Source organism: Homo sapiens, chromosome 6, assembly GCF_000001405.40.
Source record: "Homo sapiens chromosome 6, GRCh38.p14 Primary Assembly".
In the NCBI taxonomy this organism is placed as follows: domain Eukaryota; kingdom Metazoa; phylum Chordata; class Mammalia; order Primates; family Hominidae; genus Homo; species Homo sapiens.
Window position 1 is genome coordinate 135412086 of NC_000006.12, and position 20684 is coordinate 135432769.

Consider the following 20684-nt stretch of genomic DNA (forward strand, 5'->3'; position numbering starts at 1 on the left):
CATTCTCTTATACTGAATACAGTTGGTCCACTGTATCTGTGGCTTCCCTATCCATGAATTCAACCAACTATGGATAAAAAATATTCAGAAAAAAATAACAATACTATAAAAAATACAGTATGATAACTATTTACATAGCATTTATACTATATTAGGTATTGTAAGTAATCTACAGATGATTCCAAGTATGAGAGAAGATGTCCACAGATTATATGCAAAAACTATGACATTTTATGTAAGTGACTTTAGCATCCATAGATTTTTGGTATCCCCAGGGGTTCTGGAACCAGTCCTCTATAGATAACAAGAGATAACTCTATTTATAGTGTTCTCTGTTCTCCCTTATAGATCATGCAAGAATAATTACTTTCATAGCTAACTTTGTTTCTTAACATCATTCTTATTTTGGATTTAATTCTCTAGAGTGACGAAGATGGCTCAAAGGGTGAATGTTCTGATGATGACTGATCATGATGATGATGATAATGAGCATGGTAGCATCTGTGCTGCACTTTGTATTTTTTGGGGTGCTATCACATACATTACCTCATTTGATCATTTAAAACACATGAACTTGAAAAATATTAAATGTCTGTCTATATATACAAAGGAGAAAAAATATATAAACTCATCATTTAAAAAAGTATTTCCTTAGTTACATAATCTTGAAATGGAAAGCCTTCCTAAACATGACATGAAAGAAATAAATCTCAAAACAGGGATTCATAATATGGAATCAATGGATAAACCTTCAGGGAGTCTATGGACTACTGAAATTACTATGGAAATGTGAGTGTGTTTATATAAGCATTTCTGGAAAGCAGATTCATAATTTTTATCAGGTTATCCATCGAAGGATTACATGAGTCAGAAAAGGTTAATAATTGTCAACATTCTTATGGACCAATGAACAGATTTTGTAACATGAACATTTAAAGAGTCTTCATTAAAATAAAAAAACTTGCCAGGCACAGTGTCTCATGCCTTAATCCTGGCACTCTGGGAGGCTGAGGTGGGAGGATCACTTGAGCCTAGGAGTTTGAGACCAGCCCTGGCAAGATAATGAGACCCTGTCTCTATAAAAAATTGAAAAATTAACCGGGCAGGGTACCATGTGCCTGTAGTTTCCAGCTACTGAGGAGGCTGAGGTGGGTGGGAGGATTGCTTGAGACTGGAGGTCGAGGCTGCCACTGCATTCCAGTGAAGACTGGATGACAGAGCTAATGTGATTTTTAAATCATATTTAAGACTTAAATATATAAATAAACTACCACAACAAAAATTAAAAAGGAAATGATGTAATAGGGTTCTTCCATTTCTGACCAAAATGGAGTAGGGACTAGATTTACTCTGCTGCTTGAAACTACCAAAAAATGGACAAACTGTATAAAAGAAAAAAAAAAAACTGTCTTTGCAGACATGATTGTCTAGGTAGAGCTAAAGTGGAGTAAGGCAAGTGAGGCACACAGGCAGCAAAATTTAAGGAGGTTCTCACTCTGAGGTCCTGGCTCCATATCTGTGTAAAAATTCTAAATGGAATCTAAAAAAATAAGGCACTAGAATTGACTTTAGCAATGTTGTAGGATTGAGATCAAAACACAAAAATCATCTATATGTCTATATACAAGCAATTAAGAACCAAAAATTGAAATTAAAAAAAAAAATGCCATTTACTATGGCATAAAAAAAGTGACATACTTTGGGGAAAAAAAGGAGAAAGATGTGAAAGACCTGTATACTGAAAACTAAAAATACTGCTGAGAGAAACTGACAAAGCAATTTGTCATTGTGTTCATGGGGTGGCATACTCAATATTGGTAAGATGTAAATTCTCCCCAAATGATCTGTAGATTCAATGCAGTCCCACTCAAAATTCCAGCAGGTTATTTTTGGAGAAATTGTAAAATAAATTCTAAAATCGACATGGAAATGAATATTACCTAGAACAGCCAAAACAACTTTGAAAAAGAAAAGAATACCTGACTTCAAATCCTATAAAGCTACAGTAATCCACACAGTTTGCTACTGGCATAAAGATAAATAAACAGATCAACAGAATAGTATAGAGTGCCCAGGGTGTATAGACAAAGTATAAAGGCCATTCAGTGGAGAAAAGACAGTTTTTTCCAACAAATGGTGTTAGAATAGTTGGATATTCATATGTGAAAAAAATGAACTTTGATCCATACTTTACAACATGTACAAAAGTAACTCAAAATGAACCACAGATCTAAATGTAAAACCCAAAGCTGTAAGACTTCTAGAAAAAAACAGAGAACACCTTTGTGAGCTTGGGTTAGGCAAAGATTTCTTAGACACAACACTAAAATGCATAAAAGAACAAGCTGATAATTTGAACTTCATCAAAATCTCAAACTTCTGTTCTTTAAACTGTTAAGACAATTAGAAAACAAACCAGACTGGGGGGAAATACCTGCAAATCATATGCCTGATAAAATACTTGTATACACAAAACACAAAGAAATCTCAAAACTCAATAATCAGAAAACAAATAGGACAATTTAAAAAATGGAGAAAAGATTTGAAAAGACAATTTACTGAAGAAGCTATATGGATGACAAATAAGCATGCAAAAAAAGGTGCTCAGTATCATTAGTCATTAGGGAAAAGCAAATTAAAACCACAATAAAATAGCACTGCATGTATATTAGAATGGCTAATATTCAAAAGATTGGCCATTTCTTTTTTTAAATTTTTTTATTTATTTTTATTTTATTATTATTATACTTTAAGTTTTAGGGTACATGTGCACAATGTACAGGTTAGTTACATATGTATACATGTGCCAGGCTGGTGTGCTGCACCCATTAACTCGTCATTTAGCATTAGGTATATCCCTAATGCTATCCCTCCCCCCTCCCCCCACCCCACAACAGGCCCCAGAGTGTGATGTTCCCCTTCCTGTGTCCATGTGTTCTCACTGTTCAATTCCCATCTATGAGTGAGAACATGTGGTGTTTGGTTTTTTGTCCTTGCGATAGTTTGCTGAGAATAATGATTTCCAATCTCATCCATGTCCCTACAAAGAACATGAACTCATCATTTTTTATGGCTTCATAGTATTCCATGGTGTATATGTGCCACATTTTCTTAATCCAGTCTATCATTGTTGGACATTTGGGTTGGTTCCAAGTCTTTCCTATTGTGAATAGTGCCGCAATAAACATATGTGTGCATGTGTCTTTATAGCAGCATGATTTATAGTCCTTTGGGTATATACCCAGTAATGGGATGGCTGTGTCAAATGGTATTTCTAGTTCTAGATCCCTGAGGAATTGCCACACTGACTTCCACAATGGTTGAACTAGTTTACAGTCCCACCAACAGTGTAAAAGTGTTCCTATTTCTCCACATCCTCTCCAGCACCTGTTGTTTCCTGACTTTTTAATGATTGCCAAGATTGGCCATTTCAAAGTTGGCAAGTACACTGATATACTAATGGTGGGAATGTTAAATGTTAAACGGCACAATCACTTTAAAAAATAGTCTGGCAGCTTCTTAAGAAGTCAAACATACATCTGCAATATGATCCAGCCCTTCTGCTCCTAGAAATTTGTCAAAGAGAAATGAAGCATATGTCCATACAAAGACTTGTATGTGAATATTTGGAGCAGCTTTATTTGTAATAGCTAAAACCTGGTTACAACCCCAATGTCCATTGACAGGTGAATGGATAAACAAACTGTGGCATAGCCATACAATTAAACAACACCCAACAATATAAAGAATAAACTACTGATAAATGCTAAAACACAGATTTATCAAAGTAATTATAAGTGAAAGGAGCCAGATAAAAAAAGAGTACATGGTATATACAGTTTCACTTATATACAATTCTGGAAAATGCAAACTAATTTATAGTGGTTGCCTGGGATAAGGGTGAGGAAGGAACAGAACACAAAAGGGCACAAAGTAACTTTTGGGGATGAAATATGTTCATTATCTTGATTGAGGCAATAGTCTCCCAGGTTTATAAATGCCCAAACTTATCAGATAGTACATTTAAATAGTTCAGTTTATAATATGTCAATTATACCTCAATAAAGCCATTCACCAAAAAAAGCAAATGACAAAATTGTAATGAAAGGGGTAATTAATCTTACTATGCAGAGTTCCCATGAAATCCATTAAAAATTAATAATCGAACAGAAAAATGGGCAAAGAACCATTAAAGAAAATTCACAAAAGAACTGTGTCCAATAAAAATATATTTAACTTCACTAAAAATTAATTAGTAATAAAAATGCAAATTAGAAAGTGCCTTTTTTTTTTGCCTGTTTAACTGACCCATTGTACCTCAAGACATTATTTCCTGAGGAATGTAAGGGTAGTTAGTGTGTACTGAAGCACTATCTAAATGTTGAAAAAGATATAACAGTATAATTGTGCAACAACAGTTGTTTAAACTACGGTGTATTCATTTAATGAAAGGGAATTTAGCCACTAAAATTATGTATAGAAATGTAATTATCACAATGGAAAATTGCTCATATTATTCATTGGAAAAAATAATTTATAAAACAATATAGACAGTATATACAAAAGGACGACCACTTTTTCAAGTTATAGGCCTTGGTTTCATGAACTATGAGTCTGAGATGATGCATATAAACAATATTAGGTATTTGATCTTTATATTCATGTACTATTTCATTCAGGCACTCTAAATGAAGACCAGCTCAATAATAATTGGTGTTCTCTCCCTGCTAGTGAGTACCAAAGGATATTATCAAGGGAGAGGACCTGCTTACACTCCACCCTTTTAGTGATGTGCATTCCTCAATACTAATTACTGTTTTTAAACAGAAGTGTAGCCATTTCTCTGTAGATTGTTGTGGATTTGACTATTATTTTTCATTACACATTTTGAACTTTTCTCCAAAACAATCAGAACACTTATTACCCTCAACTATTCAAAGACTGCTTACAGAACAAGAGAAACTTTAAAGCTGTAAAAGAAAATAAGTGCTCCATGAACTGGAATTTGGAATGTTTAACATTAGTAGGTGGGTTTCAGGAATAAATAAATAAACAAATGCATATCATGTTTCATGATCTTTGTCTTATTTGCTTTTTAAAATTGTCCCTTCAACATTTAATTGTGTTTTGCTGCTATGAATGGAAAATAAAACTGGGTTAATTATTTAATGACATTTTTTAACTCCCTATATTTTCTCTGAGATTGTGTACCTACCAACCATGATTTCATTTTAATATGAGTGAGCGAACATGCATAGAAATGGCCCAGAAGCACATACACCTACGTAAGTAACAGTTACATAGGTTAGTAAGATTTCAGTATTTTTCATTTTACTCTTTTTGTCAAACTATTTTCTAAGTATTATAATATGCTAAACATGTATTATTTTTCTTTCTTAAAAATGACATTTTTAACTGGAAAAAAAAGTAACAAAAAGCAGAGCCTAATTATTTATCTCTTTATTTTTCCAGGTATTAATATGCCTTTCGGAAGGATTAAAATGGCCCAAATGGAAGCGGATAACACAAATAAATACAAACAATTATGAACACTTGTTTTTTTCATCTAAAGGAAATTTTCTATACAGAAGCCAACTGATTGGTATTCAAGGGGTCAAATTAAACACCCTATTTTATCTTTAACACCTTTAGTTCTGTGAAGGCAGCCACAAAAAAATCTGCAGAAATATTCATAAAGACTTAGTTTCTCAGATACTAGAAACAGAAGCCGTTCAGAAGTTCTTCTGCTCTTCCCCCTCCTCCAGCCTCCACAAATACATACATCAACTTGTATCAGACTATATAGATTTCATTGTAAAATATTAATAGGATTTAATACATGACTTCTGATATTCCTTCAAGCTCTATGCTTTTAACATTTCAGGGGTTTCTAAAACACTTTGACATAGGCCACAGTTGGAGTATAATTTTGCAATTAAATAACTCTTTCTTCATTTTGTCATTACTTTTTGTGTTAATTTAACTTTGCATATTTAAAATTTAGCTCTACTCTAACCTGGTATGTTTAAAACTCATAATTTTAACAGTCTCACTCCCATCTTTTCCTCACTTTTTGAAGAGCTGTCATGTACCATGCACTAAGCAGATTCTGGGAATACAGACACTGGCCCCACTTGAGGTTTCGACCTTCTGAAGGAGAATAAATTACTGCAAGGTGCTAAGTGGTATAGCAGAGGAATGCACAGATGATGAGAGCACAGAGATGGCAACTACATTTGCTTAAAGAAATGTTATATCCATCAAAATCCTTCTAAATTTACTTCTAATAGGCTATCATTTGGGATTCAAAATTTTACAAAATTAAAAAATTCTTAAAATGTTTTTATGATGGAAAATCCTTTGATTTATATAATAAGCTTGGTGCTTTTGTGTATGTTCTTGAGTTAAACAATTATGAAAAAATAATGTGGTTTTCTCAAGAGATTTTTATCTTTACAGGAGGAAGGACGGAGGAAATAAGATATTTTAATCCACTGCCCTTTGCATTTGAAGCAAATGCAAACTTTGCTATTATTACAATCTATGTACTTACATTATTGACTTTATAATGAAGTGAACCTGGAATCACAACATATTCTTTCTCTTACATTATATTAACAATAAGGTTCCCCTTTGGTTCACCGTTTAATTCCTTTGTTCAAGACATTTCATTATATATAGCCCTGTTACTTTATATGGTCATCTTACTGGATACCTAATTTCTTTAGCTATAAACTATTATATTTCCAGTTATAATATCATCCCTATAAGTTGGTAGTTCTACTTAGTTTCCCAGCATTTAGCAGTTATATAGCATTCTCCTTCTCTAACATCTGCAGTAAATGTTCAGTACTTATAATTTTTTTTTTTTTTTTGTATTTTATCTGGCCTGACTTGTTCCTCCTTCAGCTAATCTTGAGATACTGAGGTGATGGATCCAAGAAGTTCTATAGACTTAACACTTCAATTCTGGTAGCCTGTGTTTCAGGGCCTGTTAGCAATTTTGTATTTCCTTGACACACCTTGTAAGTCAATTAGAACTTTGAAGTATTACTAATAAAACTGTTCAAAATCTATAGAGTGATGTGTAGCAGATTCAAGTCTCACAGTCAACCAAATGAGACAGCATCTACCAGCATCTGGCAAATTCATTAGCTGGATATAAAAATTGAATCAACTATCTGCAAATTCCCTGCAGTACATGCTATTCTGCTCTTGTTGGTTCCTATTCCATTATCAATCATCACACAGAATGTTATCCAACTGAAAATGTGTCATACATACCCTGCTACAGAGAATAGCTACAATTTCCCGACTGCAGCCTAGTTCATGAACTCTAATAACACAGGCATTACTCAGAGATATGGCGGGTTTGGTTTCAGACTACTGCAATAAAGCATATATCTCAATAAAGAAAGTCATATGTTTTTAATTTTCTAGTGCTTATAAAAGTTATGTTTACACTATATTGTAGTCTATTAAGTGTAGCATTATGTCTAAAAAATCAATGCATTTACCTTAAAAACTATTTTATTGCTAAAAAATGCTAACAATCATCTATGTCTTCAGTTAATCATAATCTTTTTGCTGATGGAAGGTCTTGCTTTAATGTTAATAAAGGGTCTGCTGACTGATAAATGGGGTGGTTGCTGAAGGCTGGGGTGGCTGTGGCAATTTACACAACAATGAAATTTGCTGCACTGATTGGCTCTTACTTTCACAAAAGATTTCTCTGTAGCATGTGATGCTATTTGATAGCATTTTACCCACAGAAATTGTGTCCTCTCAAACCTTGCCATTGCTCTACCAACTAAATATATGGAATTTCCTAAATCTTTGTTGTCATCTCAACAATGTTCACAGCGTCTTCACCAGGAGTAGATTCTCTCAAGAATCTACTTTCTTTGCTCATCCATAAAAAACAACTCATCCATTCTAGTTTAATCATGAGATTGCAGTAATTCATTCATATCTTCAGGCTCTACTTCTAATTCTAGTTCTCTTGCTATTTTCACCAAATCTGCAGTCACTTCCTTCATTGAAGTCTTGAAGCCCTCAGAGTCATCCATGGGGGTTGGAATACACTTCTTCCAAACTTCTGTTAGTGTCCATATTTTGACTTCCTCTTATGAATCATGAATGTTCTTACTGGCATTTAGAAAGGTGAATCCTTTCCAGGTTTTCAAGGTACTTTGCCCAGCTTCATCAGAGGAATCACTATCTATGTCAGCTATGGACTTACGAAATGTATTTCTTAAATACTAAGACGTGAAAGTCAAAATTACTCCTTGATCCATGTCTTCTCCTCTTTAGCTATGAAACTACTGGAGGGCATCTTCCTCCATTAGAAAGCTGCTTCATCTCCATTGAAAATCTGTGGTTTACTGTAGCCACCTTCATCAATGATCTCAGCTAGATCTTCTGGATAACTTGCTACAGCTTCTAGATCATCACTTGTTGCTTCACCTTGCACTTTAATGTTATGGAGACGGTTACCTTCCTTAAACCTCATGAATGAGCCGCTGCTAGTTTCAAACTTTTCTCTTGCAGCTACCTCACCTCTCACAGCCTTCACAGACTTTAAGAGAGTTAGAGGCCTTGCTCTAGATTAGGCTCTGGCATAAGGGGGTACTGTGGCTGGTTTCATCTTTTATCCAGATCACTAAAACTTTGTCCATATCAGCAATAAGGCTGTTTTACTTTCCTGTCATTTGTGTGTTCACTGATGAAGAACTTTTACTTCGCATTCACAACTTGGCTAACTATACGGCACAAAAGTCTTAGCCTTTGCCCTATCTCAGCTTTCCCCATGCCTTCCTCACTGACCTCAATCACTTCTACCTTTTTATTTATAATGAGAAATGTACAATTCTTCCTTTCACTTGAATACTTAAAAGGCCACTGCAGGGTTATTAACTGGCTTAATTTCAATACTGTGTCTCAGAGAATAGGGAGGCCTGAAGAGAGGGAGAGAAATGGGAGAACGGCTGGTGGGTGGGGCAGTCAGAACACTGAAAACATTTATCAATTAAGTTCGCCATCTTATATGGGTACAGTTTGTGGTGCCCCAAAGCAATTACAATGTAACATCAAAAAGCACTCACCGCAGATCACCATAACAGACATAATAATGAAAAGGTTTGAAATATTTTGAGAGCTACGAAAATGTGACAGAGAGACACCAAGTGAGCACACAATGTTGGAAAAATGGCGCCCACAGACTGGCTTAACATAGAATTGCCACAAACCTTCAATTTGTAGAAAACGCAATATCTATGAAGCACAATAAAGCAAACACCAGTAAAACGAGGTATGCCTGTATTTATGCTTCATGCCTCATTTTATAGTTTCATTTTATCCTTTGATAAAAATATTGATATAAAATAGAATATATGCTATTCTAATTTTACAAGCAGAACAAAACAAGTGCAGAAAGGTAAATTATTTGATCAGGGTCAAATACAGAGTGGTAGTATTTTGTCTAGAATGCCAGCGCTCTCTTACTCCAGTCTTTGTTGTTGTCTATTTTACATCATATCATTCATGCATTAGTGCAATTAAAAACACCACTGTAAACATTAAAAAAAATGTCTTAAAGAGGAAGTCAGGGCTCTGGTTTATGCTCAAAACTATCAAGTTAAGTTTTCCATATGTCTTGAGTTCTTGAATGATATAAACTTTCATATCAAAGTACCTATTATGTGAATAATATTAAAATAGGTACTTCAGCATATAACCAAGAAACAGGTAGTTTTGGCATGTCTTAAAATGTGGCATTTCTATCTTTTAATTTCTCCTACCAGGCTAAAAATAAATATTTAAAATTCTGCCCTACTATTAGGTATATTTTAATGACATAATCTTGTATAAGTATGAGAATTATGTTATCTGAATGTGCTTTTGAACTATTCATAAGTATTACAAATGAATGCCATATAGAACGTAGAAAACAAATGTATTTCTACATTTGTAGATGTATCGTATGTACATCGTATTGCAAATGAATACATACAAATAGCTATCTCCAATATAGAAAACCACTACATCGTATCTATATTGTACAGAAAACTGTGGATATTAAATTTATTTCTACTAGACATTATCTGATTTCAAAAATATTGTAAAAGGAGTTATATTAAAATTTAATGAGGCCAGGCATGGTGGCTCACGCCTGTAATCCCAGCACTTTGGGAGGCCAAGGTGGGCAGATCACTTGAGACCAGGCCTAGGATTGTCTCAAACATGGCAAAACCCTGTTTCTACAAAAAATACACACACGAAATTAGTCGAGTATCCTGTGGTCCCAGCTACTCGGGAGGCTGAGGTGGGAGGACTGCTTGAACCCAGGAGGTTGAGGCCGCAGTGAGCTGTGATTGTGCTACTGCACTCCAGCTTGGGTGACAGAGCAGAGACTGTGTCTCAAGAAAAAAAAAAAATTAGTGCTATATACTAAAGAATATTTGTATTTTAAACTATATTGAGAACATAATGGCTTATTACATCATAATTATGTTACTCCTCAAAGTTTTATTTTTATGTATGTATGTATGTATGTATGTATGTATGTATGTATACATGTATGTATGTAGAGATGAGGTCTCACTATGTTGCTCAGGCTGGTCTCAAACTCCTGGCCTCAAGCGATCCTCCTGCCTCAGCCTCCCAAAGTGTTGAGATTACAAGTGTGAGCCACCACACCCAGCCACCCCCCACATTTTTAAGGGAGTGAACTATTAATAATACTAGATAAGCAAACTTCCTTTCTTAAGGGGTTCTCCTAAATGTTGAAATTGAAAACCAACAACACATTTTACCATAGGAATATTTAGCTACTTTTTAAATTTACTTCATGATCAGGAAATGCAAAGACTAAATAAGTGCCTAAGACAGATAGCTTAATGCACTGAGAACATGGACTCTGGAGTCAGCTTAGACAAAATGGTGGCTTTACACCAACTGTGTTACTTTAGGAAAATTATTGTTTTCTCTGTGCCTCCGTTTCATCATCTGCAAAATGAGGATAATAATGGGACCTACAATGAAGAGTTTTAGAAGGATGGTATGAGATAATATATGTAAAATGCTCATAAGATTGGTAGACACAGTAAATGCTTGATAAATGTTAGCTACTACTACCACTGTTATTAGCCCCAAATTTACTGATGATGCCTCTCAGCATATATTTTTATAAAATTTAAGGAAAAAATGCTATTCTATAGGATTTGTAATTGTTAATGCCAACATTTATTCATTTATTGCATATTAGTAACATGCCAGGTACTATGTTAGACATATGGCATTCTAAATATCACACGCTTCTAGGCAGTGAGCAACTTAAATAACAAATTTTATAGGAAACTAAAGGTACATGTTGCCCTGAACTCTGGTAAAGTGTGCCACAATATAAAAAATAAGTTTGTCAACAATGACAACGTAGGCTATCATTAATTAATATGAATTGTGTTAATAAAATCATGTCAGTAGTAGAAACTGCTTTTTGGTTTAAATTTCTTTTAGAAATGTAATCAACTACTTAGGAAGTACAAAGGACTAGAAAAAAGAATGGTAATCTGAGTCTGATTCCTGTGTTTCATAACACAGCTCAACTTGACACACAATAGGTGCTTAATAAAGATTTGTCTTGTCTAAGATACTATGACTATGTGTCCTCTGAACCAGAGTTGATACTCTGTTATTAACTCTGGTTAATATACTCTGGTTAATAAACTCAGTATTAACTCTGGTTCAGAGGAGACATTGCCACCTAGCGAAAAATCAGCCTCATTACCTAGAATTATCAGACAATGCTGAGAACTTCTCAAATTAGACTTGACTCCACTGACTTGACTCCACTGAAAACACTACATGCATATTTATTATGTGTCAGTATTCAGGGTAGGTACTAGTAGGAAAAAGATGAACAAGCTTCCATCTTTGCTTCTTACAACGTATAGAAAATACAAGGAAACCACATACTCCACAGAGAAACATAGAAAAAACTGTACTGTAGAAAAAACAAGGTTTGATTATTAGACATTTAGAAACTAGTATTTCAAGAAATTTGCTGAAAAGGAAATTTAGTGTAGCAAATAAGAGCATGGACTCCAGGAGCAAACTGCATTGATTTAAAGCCATGGCTCCTGTAAAGCGAGGATAACAGCCCCTATGTCATAAGATTATTGCAGAAACTTAAATATATGTAAGGTAAAATGCTTAAAACAGAACCAGGAACAAACAAAATGCTATGTAAGTATTTACTAAAATTATTATTAAATCTAGAACAATATCCTAGAGACTGAGGTGAATATTGATTAATAACAACACATTAACTGAAGTCTAGCTTCATAAATTTAATTCAGTAGAAGCCGTTTCTCTGACTAGTACTCTGTTATTATGGGAATCCTAAAAGTACATTATTTGTGGTACTCTGTGACTAAATTTTGTATTACTGGATGATTAACCCTTTCAACATCAGGCAAATAAAACTGCCTTCTGAAAGTAAAAATCATATTTCTTACCAAAAAAAGCAAAAAGTCAGTAGAATGAAAGACCCAAAAGACCACAACCTGAACATATGTTTACCAGGGAAAGATGCTTGCTAACTCTTCACAGATTTTGCTAGAACTGAAAGATGGATGATACATTTAGTTACCACTGTGGTCTCATTCACAACTTGTTTAGCTTATAAAAAAAAATAAGCTTGCTCCATTTTCCTGGAAAATTATCTGATAATTTTTTTTAAACACCACTTAAAAATCCCTTAAGTCTTTTGTGTTTTTTGAATTTTATACTATTAAAATATTTATGTAAAGCCATATGTAAACTTTATTTTCAACCAAAAAATTATGAGCAAAATATTCCTGTATTAAAAAATAAAACATAAGACAAAACTCTAATAGGTTGGTAATAAATATTATACTTTTCTTATGGATCTATACCATTCACAAGAACTCTGCTCAATCTTAGATGGCTTAAGATTACTTAACTTCTTCCTAAGCTTCCTCTTTTTAAAAATAGCAACGAGTTGGGAAAATGTGTTGAAACATTTTTTAGTTTTAATTTGTTTGTAAAGGTGTGTTTGCATATCAAAAATTGTGTTTGTGATATATTGCACAAATAATTTAAATTTAATGTGTCTACTATTTGAATATTTAGATTTCTAAAATGCTCATGGAAATCCTTCCTCTTGCACATTAAGATAGTGTGGAAATAACATTATGTTTTTAATTTTATGCATTTATATTCTAATAAATTGACCTGGAAAGAAACATACTTTAATAAATAAAAGACTGACCAACAGAGTAAAAGAGAGGAGAAAAAACTCTTCAACTGCTTTCCATATAGAGATGCTTATTAGCATATTAAAACAGAAATTCTTACATATAGTCAAGCATATATTGGTTGGATGGGCATAACAACCCATTTTATCTTTTGTTTCAATATTGTGCTTATCAATTTACCTAGTACTTTCACAGTCATGGTCTCATAGTATCTTCACAAATACCTCTCTTAGGTAGGACAGGTATTAGTACTGTAGTACCTTTTCATAGATAAGAAAATGGAGCTTCAGGAAGGCAAGAAGCTTGTGCAAGGTCACTAGAGTAACAGAATGGAGCCTAAACCCCATTTTTTTAGACTCCTAAAATGCTTAGCTCTTTCTCCTACTAGGCCTCTAGAATGGACTTCTTTGCTTACTGCCTAAAAACCAAACTGGCAAACCTAACTATCCTGGGCTACTCTGATGATAAAATCCTGTCAGTGACAAAAAATAAATTGCTTTAAGAAAAGATAGAGTGCAACTTTAATGTGTATGTGTAGTGAAAATTTCAAAGGCATAAAAAGCAAATTAGAAATTGAATGAAGACTACTGTAAAACCTCTTAAGAGTCTGAGGAAATAACTGTGCTGCCTATTTCCTGTATAACAGTTCCAAATATAAAGTACTTTGGTATAACTCTTCATTTATGTGAAGATTTAGAGTGGGTACAAAGAGAGAACTGTTTCAGGATACATGGTGAAACTAGACACCAGATTTGGACATTGAATGATTTGAGGAATCCATCTATTTTTTCCTATAATCAGGCAGTGTTTATCTTTGCTAATGTCTGCTTGTAATAGTAAATGGTACTGTGTTGCTTGGCAATTCTACCATTACTAACAGTGTTCTATAAATCTGAGTATGCATTGCAGAAATGATTTCTTCTCTATAAAATTCTTTAAAATAAGATTACATTTTGACTTTACACATTATTTTCTAGCATAATTTACCCTGGAAGGCATAATATAATCCACACTGTGATCAAGAACTTCAGATTTCTAACTTAATTGCCTAATTACTTAGTATTTATCACAACCATTAATCAATTCAATCTATATTAACTTAATACACTTAACTTTCCATAAGCAAATCAAAGAAACTAACAAAGACTTTTCATTTTTGTACAATACTATATGAAGAAAATAGAAATGCAATTTTGAGAATGACAGCACTAATAGTATAATATAGAAGAGTGGAATCCTAATTTCAGGATAGAAATTAAAGAAATATATGAAAACCAGCATATATCCAAAGAATTCTTAGAATACCATACTGTCCCTGAAAAATAATGTATCCACACTTTTTATTTCCTTATTATTTCTCAGAATGATAGAATAGTGTAATTGCGGACACGAAAGACATTAGATTTCTAATTCCAGGTGATGTTTTCACTGATGTGATTTTCCCCCTACTTTTTATGTTAAGAAACTCTCAAAACTACAATTTATTAAAACTATGTGCTTTAGTAACAACACAGGATAAAATATTAACTCAACAGTCAACTGAAAACATCAAAGATCTGTATTCCCTAAGTTTTATTTACCTTTTAAATTTAGTTAACATATTCCAAATAATTTTTAGGTGAATTCTATTTACTTAAATTGATTTACAAAGAAACTTGTGGCTAGCTTTCTGTGATTCCAACATAAGGGCACAATTATTATGTGTACTTTTGTCAACATTTGAATTCCAGACAGATTCCTGGTTTAGTCTAAATGTAAAGGTTACTCTAAAAATTCTTTACTTATCAAGTGGTAGACTTACCATGGAAATCGTAAATATACAGAAGAATTGGCTCATTTTGCCCAAATGCACAGAATGCAACCATATTTTCAAATGGATGATAAGAAATGTCTCGAATGGGTGACTTGAATGGCAAGTCAGAATACATGGCTACTTGTTCTCCTAAATAAAAAGAGAGATTCAAAAATGTATATCAGAGCATATCTGTATCGATAAATCTTCTCACAAGATTATTCTGCCATTTATTAGAAAATATTTATAGCAATGATGCTCACATTATTTATGTGAAAACCTCAAATATTTAAAAATGTTTGAGTAACAATGTATTAAATTATCTTTATTTTACATTCCACTGACCCTCCTCCTTCTACTTTCTACCTCTTCAATGAGGTTTTCAAGGCACAAAATAAAGACAAAGGGCACAGACGGAAGTAGAGAGGTATATGACTCTAAGATTGGAGATTGGACAGAGCTAAGCAAACTCCAAATGACAGAGAACTCTGGGTAGAACTACAGGAGAAATTACAGGACTCTAAAACTAAAGAAACTCTAGTTGGGTGAGCTTTGGTGAAGGATTAACTTTTCCATTTTTTTTTTCCCAGATGCTGTTTGAGGTACCCATTTGCTTGAAAGATACCTATGACTATGGCCTAAAAGATGTCTAAAGTAGAGATCTGTGGAATCCAGGAAAATCAGTCAGGAGTCAAAAAGCAAAGAATCTAGATTCATTTATTGAAGGCGAGACTTGTTGCTACTGAATTGATGCTAAAGCATCAAAACACGGTACAGGAAACAAACAATCAAACAAAAACCTAAGTTACCTGACTAGTCAAAATGCCTAACAGAAAGAATAAAAAAAAAACAAGGAAAAAATCAAATACTGTTCATTAAAGAAATTTTAAAGTTAGTTTTATGAAACTCTCTCAATTTCTTATTAAAAACATTCATGTAGCTTTAGCTTTTCTTTTGAAAAGCAAAGGTGAGGCACAAGTGAGCTTCCCAATGTAATTGTTTATTGGAAAAAAACTGAACTGCAGTATTTCAGGCAACTTGCTATTTAAGTTTCAGACATCAAAACTTTCACAGGTATGTTTCCGTTACTAATGAAAATATAGATGTTTAACAATTTGTCTACCTAATCATATTCCAAATTCAGCTTGTAACATTTTGTACTTTGTGTTAGCCTCCATTAAACGCTTTTCTAAGATCAGCAATGTCTCATTATAGGCCATGAAAGAACAAACCTTGAATTATAATGTGAAATTCTAAATCCATAAAGATATTAAAGCAATAGAGAACAAAATTTAATACAAGTTTAGACTGTAGCTGAGTTCCTTTAAAGGCTTTCTAATCTTAAAAAACATAATTGAAAACCCAAAATCAGAATTTCCTTGAAAATTATTCCATAAAATGGTAGAATTTTCACACTTCTTCAAACCCCTGTACCTCCCCAAATGATTTTTAAAGTTCAATAAACATTCACCTGTTTCTGGGTTCCAAACATACACTATACCATCCTCACTTCCAGCAAACAGAAAAGTCCCACATGGAGTCAAAGTACTATGAATCTTCTCCCGATAATTTGCTGCTCCTACAAACTTCCTTGCTACTAATCTACAAGCAAAAAAGATTTTACAAATGTAACTGTCTTAATCATGTAAATGACTGGTGGTATAAAATCTTTTCTCTTAAATACTTAATTTCCATTCAACAAACATTTTTTGAGAATCTGCCATATGGGAGACATTCTATAATATAATGGATGCAGAATAAAGGAGAGCTAGTCCCAAGAGCCCAGGGAGTTTATAATTTAGCAAGAGAGGAGAAACATGTCAACGTAAAATAGAAGGTGGATGTAGAACATACTGCAAAAGAAAAACAGAAGAGTTCTTTTCAAACTTGGACAAGAGAAATTAATTCTAGCTATAGAGCAAGAGAGACTACTTTATGGAAGTAGCATTTGAGCTGGTTACTAAACTAATGGATAGAATTTTTATACTCATATATTCTTCTGATGAATTTTTAAAATAATACAAGGAATATTTGATCTCTGAAAAAAAATTAGATAAAACATATTATTAAACCATCTGCTAAATATGGTACATAGCCTTCCATATTTTTTCACTCACGAAAAAATAGTAAACACCATTTCAGCACACACTTTGTGCCAGGTAAGTATTATTATCATCTCTAACATCAAACAAAAGTGCACTAGAAGTCCATGTTGATTTTCCCAGAACACTGCTTCCACCTTTTTCAGGAAGGATATTTCCCTACATTTGCGATTATTTGGAAATAAACAAAAAAACAAGGACATATAAATCAAAAGCCCTCTCCTGTAGTTATATCATATTATACTAATGCTGTAACAGTATCATAGTGATAATATCAGTATCAATCAATATCATTGTTGAAGGTAGAAGTTTCTTTTTTTTAATTGTGAAAATAAAAGCAACTAACTACATTTCAGCCTCAGAACTACTCACATTTTGGGCTGGATAATTGTTTTAGGGGGACTGTCCTATGGGCTGTAGGATGCTTAGCAATATTTTTTATCTCGACTCATTAGATACTAGAAGCAACATAAAAAAAAAAAATCTCCAGATACTGCCAGATGTTCCTTGGTGAGTGTGGGGACACTGCTTAGTTGAGAACCACTACCGAATTTTATAAATATAATTTAATTCATTACTTACTCTGTGAGTACTTATCCTGTCAACACTGAAATATACTTACATCCGGAGATCCATAATTCTCAAAGTACTGTCTTTGGTATGGATTAACAAACGTTTTCCATTGGGATGAATCTCCAAATAACTTATTGGAATTCCCTTAAACTCAGTTTCTTTAATTTCCTAAAATGATTAAAAAAAATACTACTACTGAAAAGTTTGTCTAATGTTAAACTTTTTTGGGGGTACAAAATTAATCTTAAAATATCATTTCCAATTCCACTGTATAGGATGCTTTAAAATTGTTAGCAAAAGGATTCTGAGTAACGTCAGTTTAGGGCTGAAAATAAAGCTGATGAATTGTATTTCTGTGTTGTTATGCAATGTGCAAATGCACATTTAATTAGTATGTGTTTTTGTAGTATGTTCACTTTCCCAAAATTTGGTCAGTCCCAAACAAGAAGTACTTCCAACAAACACATCTTGTAACATTACATTTTTTGTTTAAAATCATGTAAGAAGCTTCCAATTTTTATAAATTCAAAACCACATGTAGAAATAATTTTCAAGTTTCTATTCTTATTTAGATAAGAATTTCTAACAACAGAATGAACTGCTTTTTCAACAGATCTGATAGACTCAACAGATTTAACTAAAATTCATGGAAATTATTTTTCACTTAGGGTGTCTTTTTTCAACTACTATCATAATTATATTATGAAAAATTGAAGAAAAAGGTATAATATGTTAGGCAGAAACTGAATCAATTTATATAGAACAAATTCAAGTTTAATGATTCATTTGTATTTTTAAATAAAAAGTAAAAAATGTACACTAACAAAACTGCTTAACATACAAGCTGTCTTAAAAACACTCCAGCCCCCAAATGAAAGAACTTATTCATTTGTTTCTATTCGGCAAATTTCAAATGAAACAATTATTGTGATTAAATGACAGATCTTCATAATAACCGCATAACTCTGAAAGACACCAGTGTTGATAAAATACTGAGAACACTGTTTTTAGAGATATAATTGGACCAAGGAAAAAGGATATAATAGGAAATATAAATTATTACTTATCGATGGTAATATAACATACATCTCATTTTAGCATAAATGTCACCCAATGGATTACTGAATGCCACAGTGCAAATGGGGTATAAAAAAGTGAAATTAACACCTGGCCAAAATTTTAAATCTTCACTAAGTCGTTATATCATCAGTCAGCCATCAGGAGGGTGTGCTAATTAATTATTGATAACTAAGAAAAACTGTTAATTTTTTGAAATGAGAGAACAGAATGTCCTGACATCCTATCTTAAAGTCATGTGATTGGATTTTTCCAACTTCTTTAATTAAATCCCAAAATATAAAATATGATTTTATACCTTATTTATAGTCCAGTGGTGCACTGAATGTTCCAAATCATTAATCTTGACATAGGTATTCCAAACAACAATCACCCCTGTACAATCTCCTGAATACATATGATGACCTATTTAAAAAAATAAGATCACTCACTTATGAATGTCACACAGAGTTAGAAACAAATAATAGGAAATCGGGGGAAACTATACCCCAGTAAAACAGTCAAAGAATTGAAGGGCTATTAAAAGGTATTTCAGTTTAAAAAAGCCAAAAATCAAAATGTAACTCACAAACAAACCCCAATTATCTTTAAATGAATTCTTTACTCTTTTAAATTATTTTTGATGACTTCTTTCCCTTTTTCACTTACCTGAATTTAACTATAAAAAGAAATGAGCCTCTCAGTACATGTGTATATGGCTTATATTCCAAAGCCAAATAATTTGAACCATCCGACATGTAACATTATTTCTCATCTTTATTAACCCATAAATCTGTTTTGGATTCCTAGAAAAATACCTATATTCTAATATGCACCAGTTTAACATCAATTCTTTGGAGTCAAATAATCTTAAAATTGAAAGACCTCAGAGACCATTAAGTTCAACTTCATACCCACTCAGGAATATCTCAAACACCACCACTAACAGATGGCTGTTCAGCAACTGTGAATTCAGTATTTTATAAAACAGCTATTCAACTGGTGAACTGCTTCCTGTATTAAAATATTCTTTCTAATTCTGAACAAAGAAAATCTATCTTCTACAGCTTTGGCCCACCTCTACCCACTGGAGTAACATGGACCAATTTCCTTTTTTTTTTTTTTTTGCACATTTGGATATCGTATGGCCAAATAGTTGAAGAAAGTCTTTATGTCTCTTTTATAATCTCAACTACTGCTATTATGACAGAGTTAGTTTTCAGATACCTTTCTATTCAGAGTCTTTCCTGAATATGTTCCAAATTTATTAACATCCCTACAGCTGAACTGAGTAAATCAGCAGTATTATCCTTTTGATCTGGATCCCATACCAATTAATTATAGCGCTAGCCTACATGCCCAGTCTCTGAAATTATGTAAAAAGTGACTATTTAATAGATACAATAAATTTCTTCATTCTTTCAGATAATAAAATGATTTACGTTTTACATCTTTAAAACATACTACATTATTCTTTTTTTTGAGATGGAGTCTCACTCTGTCGCCCAGGCTGGAGTGCAGTGGCGCGATCTCAGCTTACTGCAACCTCTACCTCCAGGGTTCAAGCGATTCTCCTGTCCCAGCCTCCCAAGTAGCTGGGACTACAGGTGCATGCCACCACACCCGGCTAATTTTTTGTATTTTTAGTAGAGATGGTGTTTCACCGTGTTAGCCAGGATGGTCTTGATCTCCTGACCTTGTGATCAACCCACCTCAGCCTCCCAAAGTGCTGGGATTACAGGCACGAACCACCGCGCCCGGCCACCATATTATTCTTATATCAAGATAAAACTTTAAATAATTGCAAATTTCCCTTCTATATGTTTGCAAATTTTAAGGTTCTTGAAGAAAAAGTAAGAATGATAATCACCAGTTCAAAGA

At 33.2% G+C, this 20684-nt stretch overlaps 1 protein-coding gene across 23 annotated transcripts in view, besides 1 other annotated feature; it reads right to left on the reverse strand.

The window, feature by feature from the left end:
• AHI1 (Abelson helper integration site 1) overlaps positions 1-20684 on the reverse strand; it is a 214209-nt gene that overhangs the window by 128554 nt on the left and 64971 nt on the right. For 22 of the 23 annotated variants that reach the window (XR_001743480.3, XR_007059277.1, XR_007059276.1 and 19 more), the window contains 4 exons: positions 19123-19229; positions 17797-17915; positions 16544-16674; positions 15082-15222 (listed from right to left, as the gene is read on the reverse strand). Coding sequence is in view for 19 of the 23 variants with exons in the window: in XM_047418943.1 (XP_047274899.1) it covers positions 15082-15222; positions 16544-16674; positions 17797-17915; positions 19123-19229 (498 nt within the window). In the remaining 4 variants the exon portion in view is untranslated. Of the gene's footprint in view, positions 1-15081; positions 15223-16543; positions 16675-17796; positions 17916-19122; positions 19230-20684 lie in introns of those variants that run through there. The other variant, XR_007059278.1, reaches the window with a different exon arrangement.
• Positions 13852-14052: a silencer, noted in NCBI's record as "peak6137 fragment used in MPRA reporter construct". NCBI's record gives its function as "represses an SCP1 promoter by STARR-seq MPRAs in K562 erythroleukemia cells {active_cell/tissue: K562}" and the evidence as "EXISTENCE:reporter gene assay evidence [ECO:0000049][PMID:32103011]".